The 15,547-nt window shown below is 41.9% G+C and overlaps 1 protein-coding gene across 50 annotated transcripts in view, besides 1 other annotated feature; it reads right to left on the bottom strand.

Moving 5' to 3' along the window:
• The window catches only part of ZNF618 (zinc finger protein 618), a 180,285-nt gene that overhangs the window by 120,888 nt on the left and 43,850 nt on the right, over positions 1-15,547 (bottom strand). The gene's annotated exons all lie outside the window — the stretch shown is intronic.
• Positions 65-565: an enhancer, noted in NCBI's record as "H3K4me1 hESC enhancer chr9:116697421-116697921 (GRCh37/hg19 assembly coordinates)". NCBI's record gives its function as "activates a minimal SCP1, AML or CMV promoter by ChIP-STARR-seq in naive H9 embryonic stem cells {active_cell/tissue: H9 hESC(naive)}" and the evidence as "EXISTENCE:reporter gene assay evidence [ECO:0000049][PMID:30033119]".

The following is a 15,547-nucleotide window of genomic DNA, read 5'->3' as shown; positions in this document are numbered from 1 at the left end:
CACACCTAAAGATGGAGCCAATTAAGACTCATTGGGCTCGAAGGAGAAGAGTAGAGGTAAGGAGGCTTCACAGAGTCCCCAAGAGGACTGTTTATTCAGAGGTCAGCCAGCAGGAGGAACAAATTCAAAGTTGCCAATTCCAGCCCTGGGCAGTGCTCATTCTGTGGAGTGACACGACCCGCAACAAGGACACGCTCTGAGCACAGCACATGGTGTTTCCAGGGCCAGGTGGGGTGCAGGTGGTGCTTCCATCACTGCAAATAGCTCTCATCCCAATGTGCCTTTATGGAAGCTCAGAGGGCATCAGCTGTGCCCTCTCTAGGACCAGCCCCTGGGCTGGCAGCTGCGGCTTTACCTCCTGCAATGACACTTTTCACCTTGGTGAGATGCTCCTCTTAGTGAACCCGCTGCAGCTGGCCATGATGTAAAGTGGGGGGCAATGTCCATCTGCTCCCACAGGGGCACTACCCAGAGAGGTCATCAGGAGGGGGCCACTCTAAATGGCATGGTGAGCCTCTCCTTCCTAGGGCCTGGGCCATAAAGCAGCTTCCTGCCAGGTTAGGGGACCCTCGTCGGCAGCCCCATGCCAGCCCAGGGGCTTCAGCCAGGCCACTGAGGTCCCTCTCACCCCTGACCAGCCTTGTGGCCCTGCATTAAATCAGGCCCTGGGTCTTATGCCCCTTGGGCTTGCACCTGGGGACAGCCAGGCTTGTGAGGGACCCTGGGCATGACCTAACCATGCTGAGCCCCACGCCCCTCCTCATCCTGCACGGCTCCTTCATGGAGTTGCTGTAGCAAATGAGCTTAGAAAGCATAAAGGCTGTACAAATAGGATACTCTGGCGGTCCCCAGCCTCTCCATGCTCGGGCCACGGCCAGGCACATCCTCACGCCCAAGGCCTTCCCTGACTCCACACGTCTGCCTCGAGTCACACAGAGTTCCGGAATTAATTTAATCCAGTTTGTATCATTAGCTGTTTCTTCACGATGTGCCTAAAGACCAATGCTTAACCAACAGGCCAGAATGCTCATAACCAACCGGGTACATTTCTCTCAAAGTGCCCTTGGGAGGCTATATTCTCACTCCAACAATCCCATTTTGGGGAACACATTTGCAAATCTCTCTCTAGAAATGAATCTTCCCCATGTAAGGACAGATGTGCTTTGGTGAAAAGAGCGACCAGTCTGTGGTGCTTTCCATAAACCGAACACGGGCTTCAGCGCGTTCCATGTGTTTTGTCCATTTACTCCTCACAATCCACAGAGGAGGTTCGTGTAATTGTCATCTACACTCTGCAGATGAGGAAGAGTCACCTGCCCAAGATCAACCAGTGGGTGGCAGACCTGAGGCTGGGCCTGGGGCACCCCAGAGGGTGAGTATCCCCCTCACCACTCCTTGCCATCTCTACAGCATGGACCCTCTAACTTCCTTCCAAACAGCAGCAGCCTGAAGTCTAAGTCCATCAAGCCCAGCACACCCTCCACCAGACAACCCCTCCCACCAGCCTAGTGGCATCATCTAGACACCGTGTGCCCGTGAGTTGGGCCCCTGGCTCACTGACTTTCCTGCCGCCATTACTTCTGTCTTCAATTTTGGCTATACTAACAACTCATCTGACTCTGATCAATCAGTTCTTGGATCTCCTTTCTTTCAGTCCCCTTTCTCTCCCCTGTCCCCAGCCCACCAGCTCAACCCCTGCTCCCAGGTAACACCCTAGACCTTGTCCTTAGCAATGACACCACCATGCCATGATCTCAATTTCAAGCATCCTGTCTCCTGACTCCCAGACCCTTCCACCAATCCTGGCCCCCACAGGAGCTGCAATCCACCACCCTGTCACCCTTGCCCTGCCATGCCCCTCCCCCACTGCTATCCCTCCCCAGCCAAGACCAAGCCCATCACAATGATTGCCCCTTTGCCTAATCTTTCCATCTTTAGACCTCTCTCTCCTTTTATTCTCTGGCAAAACCCCAAGTCAACTCCTTGCCTACCCCACACTGGAAGAACACACAAAACCATGTGGATTGTCTGACTTTAAATGTGTGACCACAAACCTCCAGTGGGCCCTTAGTACAGCCCAACAATTTCCCTCCTCAATTCATGATCCTAGATGGGCATTTGAGACTTTCGCCTCTCTCCTCAAACCTCAAACAACCTGCTCTCCACTAACAGCTACTTTCCCTGAGAAAATAGAAGCAATCAGGAGAAAACTACTCATCTCCCCACCACCAGATCTAATGCACTCTAAAGTCACTCTTCCTGCGTGCTGCCCCAGTGGAATTGTACTTCTTTCTCTTGGCTTGGACCCGAGGTCACTGAGCTGGCAATTTCCCTGCTCTCCTGCAACATCAGTTTTCCCTTCCCGACCAGAGGCTTTCCACAGCATAGCAACAGACTGTGATGTCAGCACTAGGGAACATGCCCCTAACTCTGTTCCTCTTTAGAGCAAACTCAAAATGCACCTACGCTGACTGGCTCTACCTCAGTTCCCATTCTGTTGATTCCATTCCTCTCAAATTAGCCAGCTCTGCCCCAACAGGACTCCACTGAAGTCATCTTCCCAAAGTCACCAGTGCCCAGTGCTGCCAAACCCAGTGGACATTCCTCAGATCTCATCTTAGCTGACATGCTTGATCTCTCCTTTCTTCCTGGCTTTGAAGACCCCTCTGGCATCTTCCCACCTCGCTGGTTGCTCCTTGGTCCATTGACCGGTTCCTCCTCCTCTCCCCGAGTCTGAGGCTTATTCCCTAGGTGAGCTGTCAAGTCTCACTATTAAATGCCATCTATATGCAGATGATCCAGCAATTTAATATTCAGCCCTGACCACTGCTCGCCTGCGCTCCAGACTTACATCCAACAGCTTACATAACATCAGCACTGGGGCACCTCAGAGGCATCTTAAAATTCACCTAATGGCTCCCATTCCACACCTCCACCCCACTCCCCCTATACCTGGTCCTCAGAGTCTCACCCCATCTAGCAATGGTGCTCCCAATCACCCAGCGCTCAGGCCAATACCTAGACTGGGGTTAGCCTCAATTCCTTCATGCTCCACATCCAAGGAAGCCAGGAAGTCCTGCTGGTCTGACATCGACATTCATTCAACGTAGCCTCTCCTCACTCTCTCTCCACCACCTCTCTACTGTCCTCTCTTCCAAACCAGCATCACATTTCACCTGGGCTCCCTCTAAGTTTCCCAACCAGTCTTCTAATTTCCATTCTTTCCCTCATAGCAGCCAGGGGATCCTCTTAAAATGTAAATTGGATCCTGTCAACACCTCTGCTCAAAACCTTATAAAATCCTCCAACCCCTTCCCAGTGGCCTCCATGACCCTCCGTGACCTGGCTACCCCTGCCTAACCAGCCGCACCCCCTCATCTCCATCTAGCCACTGTGGCCTTTCTACTGCTCATTCCAACCTTTGCACTCACTGTTCCCTCACCTAGAATGCTGTTCCCCACCAATTGCAAGGTTTGCTTCCTCATTTCATGCACGCCTCTGTTTATCAGAGAGGTCTTTCCTGACTCCCAAACTCAAATAGCCCTCCACTCCATTACCTGCCCCTGTCTATCCCAAATCCGTTTCCTTTTTCTTCGCAGCACTTAACAGTATCTGAATTCCATTCATCATTTAGTTGTCAGGGCAGGAGTCTTATCTTATTCACTGCTATATTCCCAATGCCCACAACAGGCCCCAGCCCACAGCAGACGATCTATAAATACATGTTGAATAAATGAATTCACAAATGAATGAATCAATCACTACACTATACAGCCTTCCCTCAGCCCAAGGAGTAGAGAACAGCATTGTCCAACAGGAATAAAATATGAGCCACATATGCAATGTTAAATCTTCTAGTAGACACATTTAAAAAAGTAAAAAGAAACAGTGAAATTAATTTTACTATTGTATTTTTTAAACCGATGTATCAAAATGTTATTTCAACCTATCAATACTGAAATAATTATTAGTGATGTTTTACAATCTTTCATACTAAGTCTTCGGAATGTGGTACGTATTTTACACTTACAGCACATCTCGATTTGGACTAGCCAAGTTTCAAGGGCTCAACAGCCCCATGTGGCTTGTGGCTACTGTATCAGCCCAAATCTAAAACGTGAGCCTGATCTGGTCCTTCCCACACCTAAACCTTCCCCTGACACTTCATCACTCCCAAGATGAAATTCCAACCCAGCCAAGCATTAAACCTGCCCATCTGGAGTCGCAAGCCTCATCTCTCAACACGCCCCTGGTATCCAACACAACTTCAAATCTCTGTGCCCTCCACTCCCTGACTTTGAGCCTGGGGCACATGCTGTCCCTTCTGCCTCAAAGGCTCCTGTCCTATTCATCTGAAGACCTCCTACTCAATCTTCAACACTCCTGCCCCACGCTCCTAAACTGCCATCTCCCCGACACGAGTGTGCTCAGGGCAGGGACCACCTCATGCCTCTATGCTGAGTACACAGCAGGTGTTCCATGCTTATCACTGAATTAGTGACAGAAGGTGGCTCCTTGGCAATCAGGCCATCATTCACTCCCCACTTCTGCCCACTCCACAGCACCTCTCTGCCCTTACTCAACATACCATCCAGAAAAACAGTGAATGGTGTATTCCTGTGTCCAGTCTTTCCTATTTCTTCTATATCTAACTATTCTCCCTGAATTCTATCCTAAAAAAGTAAAACTCCAAGTAAATTTCAGTATTTCCCCCAGTATTCTAATGAAGGGGGAGTAATTATCACACAATTTAATGTAAAAATATTGTCAGGTGCTTATTGGCCTTTACTTCCTTTGCTGCCCCCGAATAAGGCTAAAATCCAGAAAAGAGAAATAGTTTTATGTGAAAAACTGATCCTGTTGGATCATCACAGTCCTGAGCCCAGAAAAGTGACAGTTCAATACCAACACCAGAGGCACCAACAGCTACCACTGTTGCCCCCAGCAGCAATGCCATTGATTCAAAAGAAAGACCACTGCTGAGCGAGGAAGGCAAGGAATCAGAGCCTCCTTCGCTTCTAGGCACCTTCTTGTCAAACTTTAAAGGACAGAAATGTGAGTACGTTACTGCACTGACTACTTCATTCAACAAACATTAATGAGCACTTCATCTTCACGGGGCACCAGGCCACATGCTGGGAAACAGCCTTAAAAATAGAAATTACACCTCTGAGTTTGTTTGCCTAAAATGGCAATAATTTCTTATCCATTCAAGGACAAGCCTGCTTTTTTTGAACAAGTTTAAAAAAAAATAGGCGCCCCCTAAACCTATGAAGTTTCCCATCATGAAGCTCAATGCATATCTACAACTAAACATTTTTAAGGGAATTCAAGTAGTAGAACTGGGACTATGATTTAAACTAACTAGTTTTAAATGTATAAACCCAACATGAAAGTTTTATGAGCAAACAAAGCATGTGCAACGCTTTTCCTGCCCCTAAATGACTTAAGTAACATCTAAGAAAATGAGTAAAAGGTAACCTTGACATACATTTCAGTTTCCCCAAAAAACTTGGGGGAAATTCCAGAAGCGAGGCAATTTCCCCATGTTTTGGCTTCAGAACCTACAGACAACGTGTAACACTAGGTCTCCTTTGCAAACAAGGAGGAATGAATGAGGGCCATTGGTTTATCACAACCTAGGACCACTCCACTCCTCCCAGAACACGTGAAAGCCCTATAGGCCAAGGCTGTTATCAGAGGAAATGCTTTTAAAAACACATTCATCATGGGGGAAAAAGCCAAGATAAACAAGCTCTGAGTTACTGGTTATTCATACAATGTCATGTGATGACTGCTATTTCCACTCTTCTTATTAGAAAGCCATTTTGTTATTTAAAGCAACAATAAAGACAAAGCTGGCATCGGGAAGTACTGCCATGAAACACCAACTCATTCCAAAACCATTTCCTTATCTCGGGTAACAAGTGAACTAAAGGTTATGTTATTGTCACTAAAGCATAGAGTACTGGAAGAGCTTTGGCCTTATCCCCACTATAAAGCTGGGAAAACTGAGGCCCAGAGAGCACATTTCAGACCTGAATTCAGGATTCCCAGCCCAGCTTGGTCCACCCAACATTTGTCCCTGACAAGAGGCAGGGATACTAAGCAAACCACAGCCCTTACTGTATCCCTGTCTCCCAGCTAATTTAAGGGTGCCACAGCCTCCAGCAGAGTTTTGAAATAGGAGAACATCAACACCTACCAGGTGAGGACTTTCAATTTCAGCCCTGATATGTACAGAGCTTGGAAGTCATCACTCCCATCCTTACAACAAGAAAAAAGCTGCAAAAACTGAAAATCAACAAGTTTTCTTAGATATATCAGAGGATTGAGGCCACAGAGCAAACCACCCTGAAATCTGCAGAGACAGTCAACTGCAGAGAAATACAGCTTACCAGGAGCTGCAGTGGCTGGGGCTGGTAACTGGTAGGAACGTTTAAACAGTAACTGACTTAGCTGCTAGAAGCTGAGTATGCACTAGCTTGAGAGTTAAAATCTGGGGTCCAGTCTTAGGGGAGTCATCACATTTTCATAGATTTTAACTCCAGGAGCTTGAACAGGTTCTCATGGTGGAGATTAGACAATAATCCCATTGTCCTTCAGTGAGATGAATGTGGAGTTGGGGGTGGAAAATAACCATTTAAAATACACCAGGGGAAAAGTGATCATTCTGAAATAGCATAGAGTGTGCTGTTCTCCAGAGCAAAGGCCTGCCCTTGAAAGAATCTACCTTACCACAGACTTATCTGACCTAAGGGAAGGACAACTGGACAACTCCAGCCTGTCGAGCCTTCCTATCTCACATAAAGGGAGAAGAAAAGGCTATGAAATTTTTCTGAAGATCACAGCCCAGGGATGCAGGCCCACTTAAAAAATAATAATAATTGAGATTGAATCATGAGAGTATAGACTACTTCCTCTCCCTAATACTTAACCACATCAAAAAGACTCCAATATAATAAGAGTGGATTACAAATGAGACAGCTGCAAGACACAGATTCTATTTAAGAAGGAGTTTCTAGGGAAATCTAAAGACAACAGGAAAAGGGAGAGAAAACAAAAAACAAAGAAAAGAGGAAATTGAAGCTTCTGGCATCTCCAGCTACAGCGAACATTAAACACAGAACAGTTCCTAGCCACATAAACATAAAACTTCACACTAATATCCTCATGACCTCTGTTTCTATTAATAGATACGTCAGGTCTGGCTTTCAACAAAAAAATTACATGGTATTCTAAAAGGCAAGGAAAGAAACACAACCTGAAGAGAGACAGCAGACATCAGAACTGGCTTAGATATGACACAGACTTTGGAACTGTCAGATAAGCAATTGTAAATAACTACGATTAATATGTTTAGGGTTCTAATGGAAAAATTAGACAACATCCAAAAACAGATGGTTAACATAAGCAAAGAGATGGAAACTATAGGAAAGAATGAAACGAAAACACAAGAAATCAGATACACAGCAACAGAAATGGAGAATGCCTTTAATGAGCTCATCAGTAGCTGGATATAGCTGATAAAAAACAAAAATCACTGCATTGGAAGAGTTCAATAGGAACTATCCAAACTGAAGTACAAAGAGATTTTCAAAAAGAGATGATACAAACTTCTGGTTTCCATTCCAACATGTAAAGAGCTTGGAGGCTGTCACTCCATGCCTCGTAACAAGAAAAAAACCTTAACAAACTGAAACTAAACAACTTTTTAGATCCATCAGAGAACTGAGGTCACAGAGCAAACCACTGCCCCTAAAAGTGGAGAGACAGCAAATAAAGAGAATTGCAACTTAAGACAAGCTGATGAACTCGCTTGAAAGACGAAAACTTCCATGAGCTTCACCAGCTTCTCAGAGTTAAGATGGAAGAAAAATCTCCTCATGGTGGGGTAGGGACAAAGTAACATTTTGAAATACCTGCAGAACATACTGTTCTATTCAACAAAAGCCTGCCCTCAAGGGAAACTATTTACTAGGGTCTAACCAAAGTGGGTTTTACCAGGGTCTGATTGATATGGGGGAAGGGAAATGTCCTTCTCCAACCCCTCTAGTTTTCAACACAAGGGAAAGGAAAATATCCAACTCCAGACTCCTCTAGCCTTCCTGTCTCACCTAAGGGGTTAAAGAAAAATTTCACAAGCACATGTAAAGGTCACGACACAGGGGCACAGGCCCACTAAAAGACTGAGAACCAATGAGAGGATTCTAGAACACTACCCCTCGCCCAGTCCTTAGCACCACATCAACAGGACTCCTGTATGCTAATGGGATCACAGCTGAAAGAACTACAAGGATTGGTCACTATTTAAGGAATCTCTAAAGAAACCCAAAGACAACAGGTGAGACAAAAACAAGGACCAGAGAGGAAATTTTAGCCTCTGACACTGACAGCTACAATAAATTGTAAACACAGCCTAATTCCTAGCCTGATAAACATAAAACCTCACACTAAAGGCCTATTTACCTCAGTTCCTTTTACCTAATACATCATGCAAGGCTTTAAACCTCACATTAAAATGCTGATTACCTCTGTACCTACTACTAGATACAACATGTCCAGCTTTCAACAAAAAATTATAAGGCATGTTAAAAGGCAAAAAACTGAACAGCTACAGTAAGAGGCATCAGAACCAGACTCGGATATGACATAGACTTGGGAATTTATTTACTTTTTATTTATTTATTTTTGAGACAGGGTCTCATTCTGTTGCCCAGGCTGGAGTGCAGGGGTGCGATCTCAGCTCATTGTAACATCTGCCTCCCAGGCTCAAGTGATCCTCCCACCTCAGCCTCCTGAGTAGCTGAGACTATAGGCACATGCCACCATACTCAGCTAATTTTTGTATTTTTTGTAAAGACAGGGTTTCACCATGTTGCACAGGCTGGTCTTGAACTCTTGAGCTCAAGCGATCCACCCATCTTGGCCTTCCAAAATGCTGGGATTACAAGCATGAGCTACAGTGCAGATTTGGGAATTTAAAATACCAGTAAAAAATACACAAAGTGCTCTAATGGAAAAGGTGGACAACATGCAAGAACTGCTGATAATATAAGCAGAGAGATGGAAACTAAGAGAGAATCAAAAGAAATTGCTAAAAACAGAAATTTCATAAATAGAAAAAACAGAGAAAAAAGAGTGTAAAAAATAGAGCCAAATATCCAAAAACTGTGAGATAACTACAAAAGGTATAGCATAAATGTAATGGTAATACCAGAAAGAAAAGAAAGAAAAAACAGAAGAAATATTTGAAGTAGCAATGGCTGAGAATTTTCCAAAATTAATGACAGACACAAAACCACAGATCCAGGAAGCTCAGAGAGCACCAAGCAGAACAAAAACCAAAAAAACTGTATCCCAGCGTATCATACTCAAATTGCAGAAAATAAAAGACAAAAAGAAAATATTGAAATATTTTTGCAAAAGGGGTCCAAAAAACCTTACTTATAAGAAGAATAAGGATAAGAATTACATTGGATTTCTCTCCAGAAATCATGCAAGCAAGAAGATAGGTGAAATACTGAAAGTCCTAAAAGAAAAAAAAAAAAAACAACACCAACCTAGAAATCTGATCCAGTGAAATTATCCTACCAACATGAAGGAGAAATAACAAAAAACAAAATTTGAGGGAATTTGTTGCCAGAAGATCTGCCTTGCAGGAAATATTTTTAAAAGTTCTTCAGAGAGAAGGTAAGTAATTTGGGTCAGAAACTCAAACAAACAGAAAGAGAAGGACAGTGTTAAAGAAGGAATAAATAAGAGTAAAATAAAATCTTTTATTTTTCTCATTCTTACCTAACAGATAACAGTTTGTTCAAAATAGTAACACCAACAGGATACTGGATGATTATACCATGTGGATAAATGAAATGAATGACAGCAATGTTATAAGGGAAGGGAGGGAAGAATTGGGACTACTCTGTTATAAGATATGTGGCACTAACCATGAAGCGTCAAAGTGTTACTTGAAAGTGGACTCAGATTAACTGTACATGTATACTGCACACTCTAAGGAAAATCACTATTTTTAAAAAATAATTGATATGTTGAAAGGGAAGAAAATAGAATCATATAAAATGCTGCAGAGAAGGGAGAAAAAGAATGGAAGACAAAAGAAGAAACAAAGAACAAGGGCAACAAATAGAAAACAATTATAAATGTGGTAATATTAATATACCATATCAATCACTTTAAATGTGAATGGTCTAAATGCCAATAAAAAGACAGAGATCATCAGAAAGGATTGAAAAAAAAAAAAAGACCCAACTAACTACATGCTGTCTATAAGAAACTCACTTTAAATATAAAAATGCAGATATATTTGGATTAAAAGTAAAGGTTTGGAGAAAGATATACCATACTAAGACTAATTAAAAAAACCTAGAGTAGCTATATTAATTTCAGACAAAGCAGAAGTCAGAGCAAGGAAAATTATCAGGGATAAAGAGGGGCATTACATAATGATAAAGGGGTCAATTCTCCAAGAAGACATAAGAATCTTTAATGTGTATGTACCTAACACAGAAACAAAATATGTGAAGCAAAAACAGAACTGCAAGGAGAAATAGACAAATCCACCATCAATATCCTCTAGCAACAACTGACAGATCCAGCAAGTAGAAAATCAGTATCTAGTTAAATTAAACAACATCATCAATCAACTGGATCTAATTGACATTATTATAGGGTATTGCATCCAACAACACCACAATACACATTCTTCTCAAGGACACACAGAACATTCACCAAGATAGTCACATTTTAGGCCCAAAAGAGCACCCTAACGAGATTAAAAGAACAGAAACCACACAAAATCTGCTCTAAGATCACAATGGAATTAAACCAGAAATCAATAAGAGAAAGACTGCCAGAAAATTCCAAAATATTTGGAGACTAAATAACACACTTCTAAATAACACACAGGTCAATGCAGAAATCTCAAGAGAAATTAAAAACTATTATGAACTAAGCGAAAATGAAAATACAATTATCAACATTTATGGGAAGCAGCAAGTGCAGTGATTAGAGGAAATTTTATAGCACTGAATGCAATATAAAATCAATAATCTGAGCATCTACCTTAGAAAACTAGAGAAAGAAGAACAATATAAACCAAAGGCAAGCAGAAGAAATCATAAAAATTAGAGCAGAAATCAATGAAATTTAAAACAGGAAATGAGTAGAGAAAATTAATGAAACTAATGGCTCATTATTTGAAAAGATCAATAAAATTGATAAGCCTCTAGCCAGGCTAACCAAGACCAAAAAAAAAAAAAAAGAAGAAGAAGAAGAAGAAGAAGAAGACACAAATTACTAACATCAGAAATCGAACGGGGTCATCACTACTGATCTCATGGACATTAAAAGGATGATCAAAGGAATGTTATATACAACTCCTTGCCCACAAATTTGGTAATTTAGATAAAATGGACCAATTCCTTGAAAGACACAGGCTACCAAAACTCAGATAAGGAGAAACATATCATCTAAAAATGCCTGTATCTATTAATATAAAGGAAACTGAATCCATAATTAATAAACTTTCAAAAAAGAAAGCCCTAAGTCCAAGTGGTGAATTGTACCAAACCCTTAAGGACAAAATGATACCAATTCTCTACAATCTCTTCCATGAAGTAGAAGCAGAGAGAAAACTTCCTAACTCATTCTACGACACTAACATTACTCTAATGCAAGTTTAGCATCCCTAATCCAAACATCTTAAATCCAAAGTGCTCCAAAATCTGAAACTTGTTGACTGCCAAGATGATACTCAAAGGAAATGCTCACTGAAGCATTTCAAATTTTGGATTTTTGGATTAAGGGTGCCCAATCAGTAAATATAATGCAAATATTCCAAAATCTGAAAAGAAGTCTGAAATCCAAAATACTTCAGGTCCCAGGCATTTCAGATAAGGGATACTCAATCTGTACCAAAACCAGATAAAGACATTACAAAAAAGGAAAACTACAGACCAATGTCTCTTCTGAACAAAGGTGGATAAATGATCAACAAAATAGTACAAAATTGAACCTAAAAATGTTTTAAAAAGTGTATGCCCTGACCAAATGGGATTTATTCTTAGAGTTCAAGACTGGTTTACCACTTGAAAATCAATAGTGTAACCCATCACATCAACAGGCTAAAAAAGAATAGTCACAGGATCATATCATAGATGTGCATTTAACAAGATTTGACACTCATTCATAATAAAAACTCTTAGCAAGCTAGGAAAAGAGGGTAACTTCCTCAACTTGATCAAGAACATCTACAAAAAACCTACAGCTAACATCATATTTAACGGAGAGAAACTAAATGTCTTCCCCCTAAGATCGGGAACAAGGCAAAGATGTCCTCTCTCATAATTCCTATTCAATGTCATAGTGGAAGTCGTAGCTAATGCAGTAAGACAAGAAAAGGAAATAAAAGGTATACAGATTGTAAAAACAAAACAAAACAAAAAAAATTTCTTTATTCACAGATAATATGATTGTCCATATAGAAAATCCCAAATAATCCATTTTAAAAACTGGAACTAATAAGTGATTATAGGAAGCTTGCAGGATACTAGAGTCAATTGCTTTCACATATCCCAGCAATGAAGAACTGGGATCTGAAATTAAAAACACAATGCCATTTTTATTAGTGCCAAAAAAATAAAAACGTAGGTATAAATACTTAACAAAACATGTACAGGATATCCACGGAAAACTACAAAACTCTGATGAAAAAAATCAAAGAAGATCTAAATAAATAAAGAGATATTCCATGTTCATGGAGGGAAGACTCCGTATTGTTAAGATTTCATTTCTTTCCAACTTTATCTAAAGATTTGATACAATCCCAATCACAAGTCCAGAAGTTGTTCTGTGCATATCAACAAACTGATTCTAAAGTGTATATACTGAAAGGCAAAAGACCCAGAATAGCCAATACAATCCCAAAGAACAACAATAAAGTTGGAGGATTGACACTACCCAGCTTCGAGACTTACTATAAAGGTACAGTAAACAAGACAGTGTAGTGTTGGTGAAAGAATAAACAAGTAGATCACAATAAACAGAACAGACAGAATAAGCAGAATAGAAAGCCCAAAAATATACCCAAACTAATATAGTCAACTGATATTTGACAAAGGCACAAAGGTAATTCAAAGGAGTAAGGATACTCTTTTCAACAAATGTTGCTGGAACTGGGCATCCGCATGCAAAAAAAAAAAAAAAAAAACAAACCAAAACAAAACCCTCTCCGGCCTGCCCCTGTCTGCCAGTGTACATAACTTAGGACACCAACCACAACCACTTTCTTTGGATAGAAGGTATTGGCCCTCTGGGCAGCTGCCAACTTATCTTCCCTCTGCCCCGTCCAGCCCTCCATTTCATACCTAACCACTCCACAGTGAGATCAAAACTCTCAGAGCCCATGACGACTTTCACTATCAGTTTCAGGCCTTTCCTCAGTCCCATTTCTGTTCCAATTTCTTCTCTTCCTTTTATCTGCATAAATTGTCCCCTGGAGAAATTGTGTTTATTTTTTGTTCCCTGGTTTATCCCCAGGATCACACACAGAGTAGGAGTTCAATAAATACTTCTTGAATGAACAAGCTTTTAAGTTATGTACATGTCATATGTGTTTTCAGTACATACATCAAAGTATCGATACATCAAAAATCAACATCCAAAGTGATTATCTCTGCATGGGAAAGTTATGGGTGATTTTGATTTTTTTATTCCTTTTTGCTCATTGGAACTTCCTAACTGTTCAACAGCGAACATGTATTGCTTTGGATAATACAAATAACAGGAAAAAAAAACCCTCCCTACAACATAAGAAAGGCCAGGTTTATACAAAGGAAGCATCCGAAGTGATGATTCACTTTATAGAAGGCATCTTTTGCTTTGTAGAAAGCTTTGTCATAAAAATATTTTATGTAAGGAGTAGTCAAAAAAAGGATTTGATCTGTGGGACACTTCAGAATGATGAAGTTCAGAAAGTCCCATTTCCCCTGAGAAGAACAGAAGCTGTTCCTTCTTCCTTCTTTCCAGATCATGTTCTGTTTCCCCATCTTCTCAAGGAAGACCACAGCACATTCCCAGCTGGTCAGTTCCAAGCTCAGTGACTCCTAACTCTGTTTGCCTCCGGGGTTTCATCTTCAGATGTGGGTGTTTCGAGACTCTGGAAAACCAGACTGGATTCTCTGCTGGGCCATAACCATGAAGAAGCCTTTCAAGGGACTGGCTAAAGAGAGAACACCCTCAGCCTAACATGTGGATGGCTAAATCAACTCTGAATCTCTGACCTCATGAAAACCCTTCCACTCAGTGAAACCAGACATCATACAGGCAGTCCCCAACAAATGCTACCCTGGGACAGGCTTGCCTGTGTGCTTTGCACTCATTCTCTCTGAAGTCCAGAGCAGAATCTAGGTGCATAACACTGGCCTGATTTTACAGATGGGGAAACGGACCAGAAAGGCGAGATAATTTGCCTAGGAACACCCAGGTATTAGGTGGGAGACACAGGACCCAGGATTCCAGCCTTGGTCTAATGGATGCCAAAGCTGCAAGATAAATGAATACATATGCTCAAGTAACTTTTTAAAATAGCAAAGGTATTCAACATCTGATCTGTGTCAGGTTCTAAGAGACACATGCTGAGCTGGAGCCACCAATAGGTCAGCCATTGCCCCTAACCTGATGGAGCGTGCATGCTAGCAAGGGAAACACACCACACAACTGACTTCCACTTGTGAAATGGGCTACCCAGGTAGCACTGTCACCCTCAGCTAGGTGGGACACAAATGTATGGCTTAGCAAAACTACAACTAGCCACATGGCAAACTGCACAAATCTCCAATGCTAAATCCTATTGATACTATCACAAACTGTCATTGATGTGGCTCTTCCCATGTGCTAGGTACTGTGCTTGCCACTTCATATCCATTCTTTCATTTAATCCTTACCACCACCTTATGATGTAAACTCATTAAAAATTGCGACTCTTGGCCTCGCACAGTGGCTCATGCCTGTAATCTCAACACTTTGGGAGGCCAAGGCAGGCAGATCAGCTGAGGTCAGGAGTTTGAGACCAATCTGGCCAACATGGTGAAACCCTGTCTCTACTAAAAATAAAAAAATTAGCCAGGCATGGTGGCGGGCGCCTGTAATCCCAGCTACGTGGGAGGCCGAGGCAGGACAATCGCTTGAACCTAGAAGGTGGAAGTTCCAATGAACCGAGATCACACCACTGAACTCCAGTCTGGGCAACAGAGTGAGACTATCTCAAAAAAAAAAAAAAAATTGTGACTCTGAAAATAAGTAAAAAATCAAGATCTACTTCTGTGTTACAGTACCTTCTCCCAAGCACTACAGCACACTACATGGACTGCACCCCGCAGGCTCCTCCCCACCATAAATCACCATTAAGGGGTCTCCTAGCCCCTAAAGGGCTCCACGCCAATAGCCTCACTTGAAACAAAAGTGTCAGAGATCAAGCAGGTGACTTCTGCATCGCCATGGCAACTGGCTGAATGAGGCCTGTCAGGAA

The sequence above is a fragment of the Homo sapiens genome, chromosome 9 (genome assembly GCF_000001405.40).
Source record: "Homo sapiens chromosome 9, GRCh38.p14 Primary Assembly".
Lineage (NCBI taxonomy): Eukaryota > Metazoa > Chordata > Mammalia > Primates > Hominidae > Homo > Homo sapiens.
The sequence above is the reverse complement of the archived record's forward strand: the minus strand, read 5'-3'. Positions and strand labels throughout refer to the sequence as shown.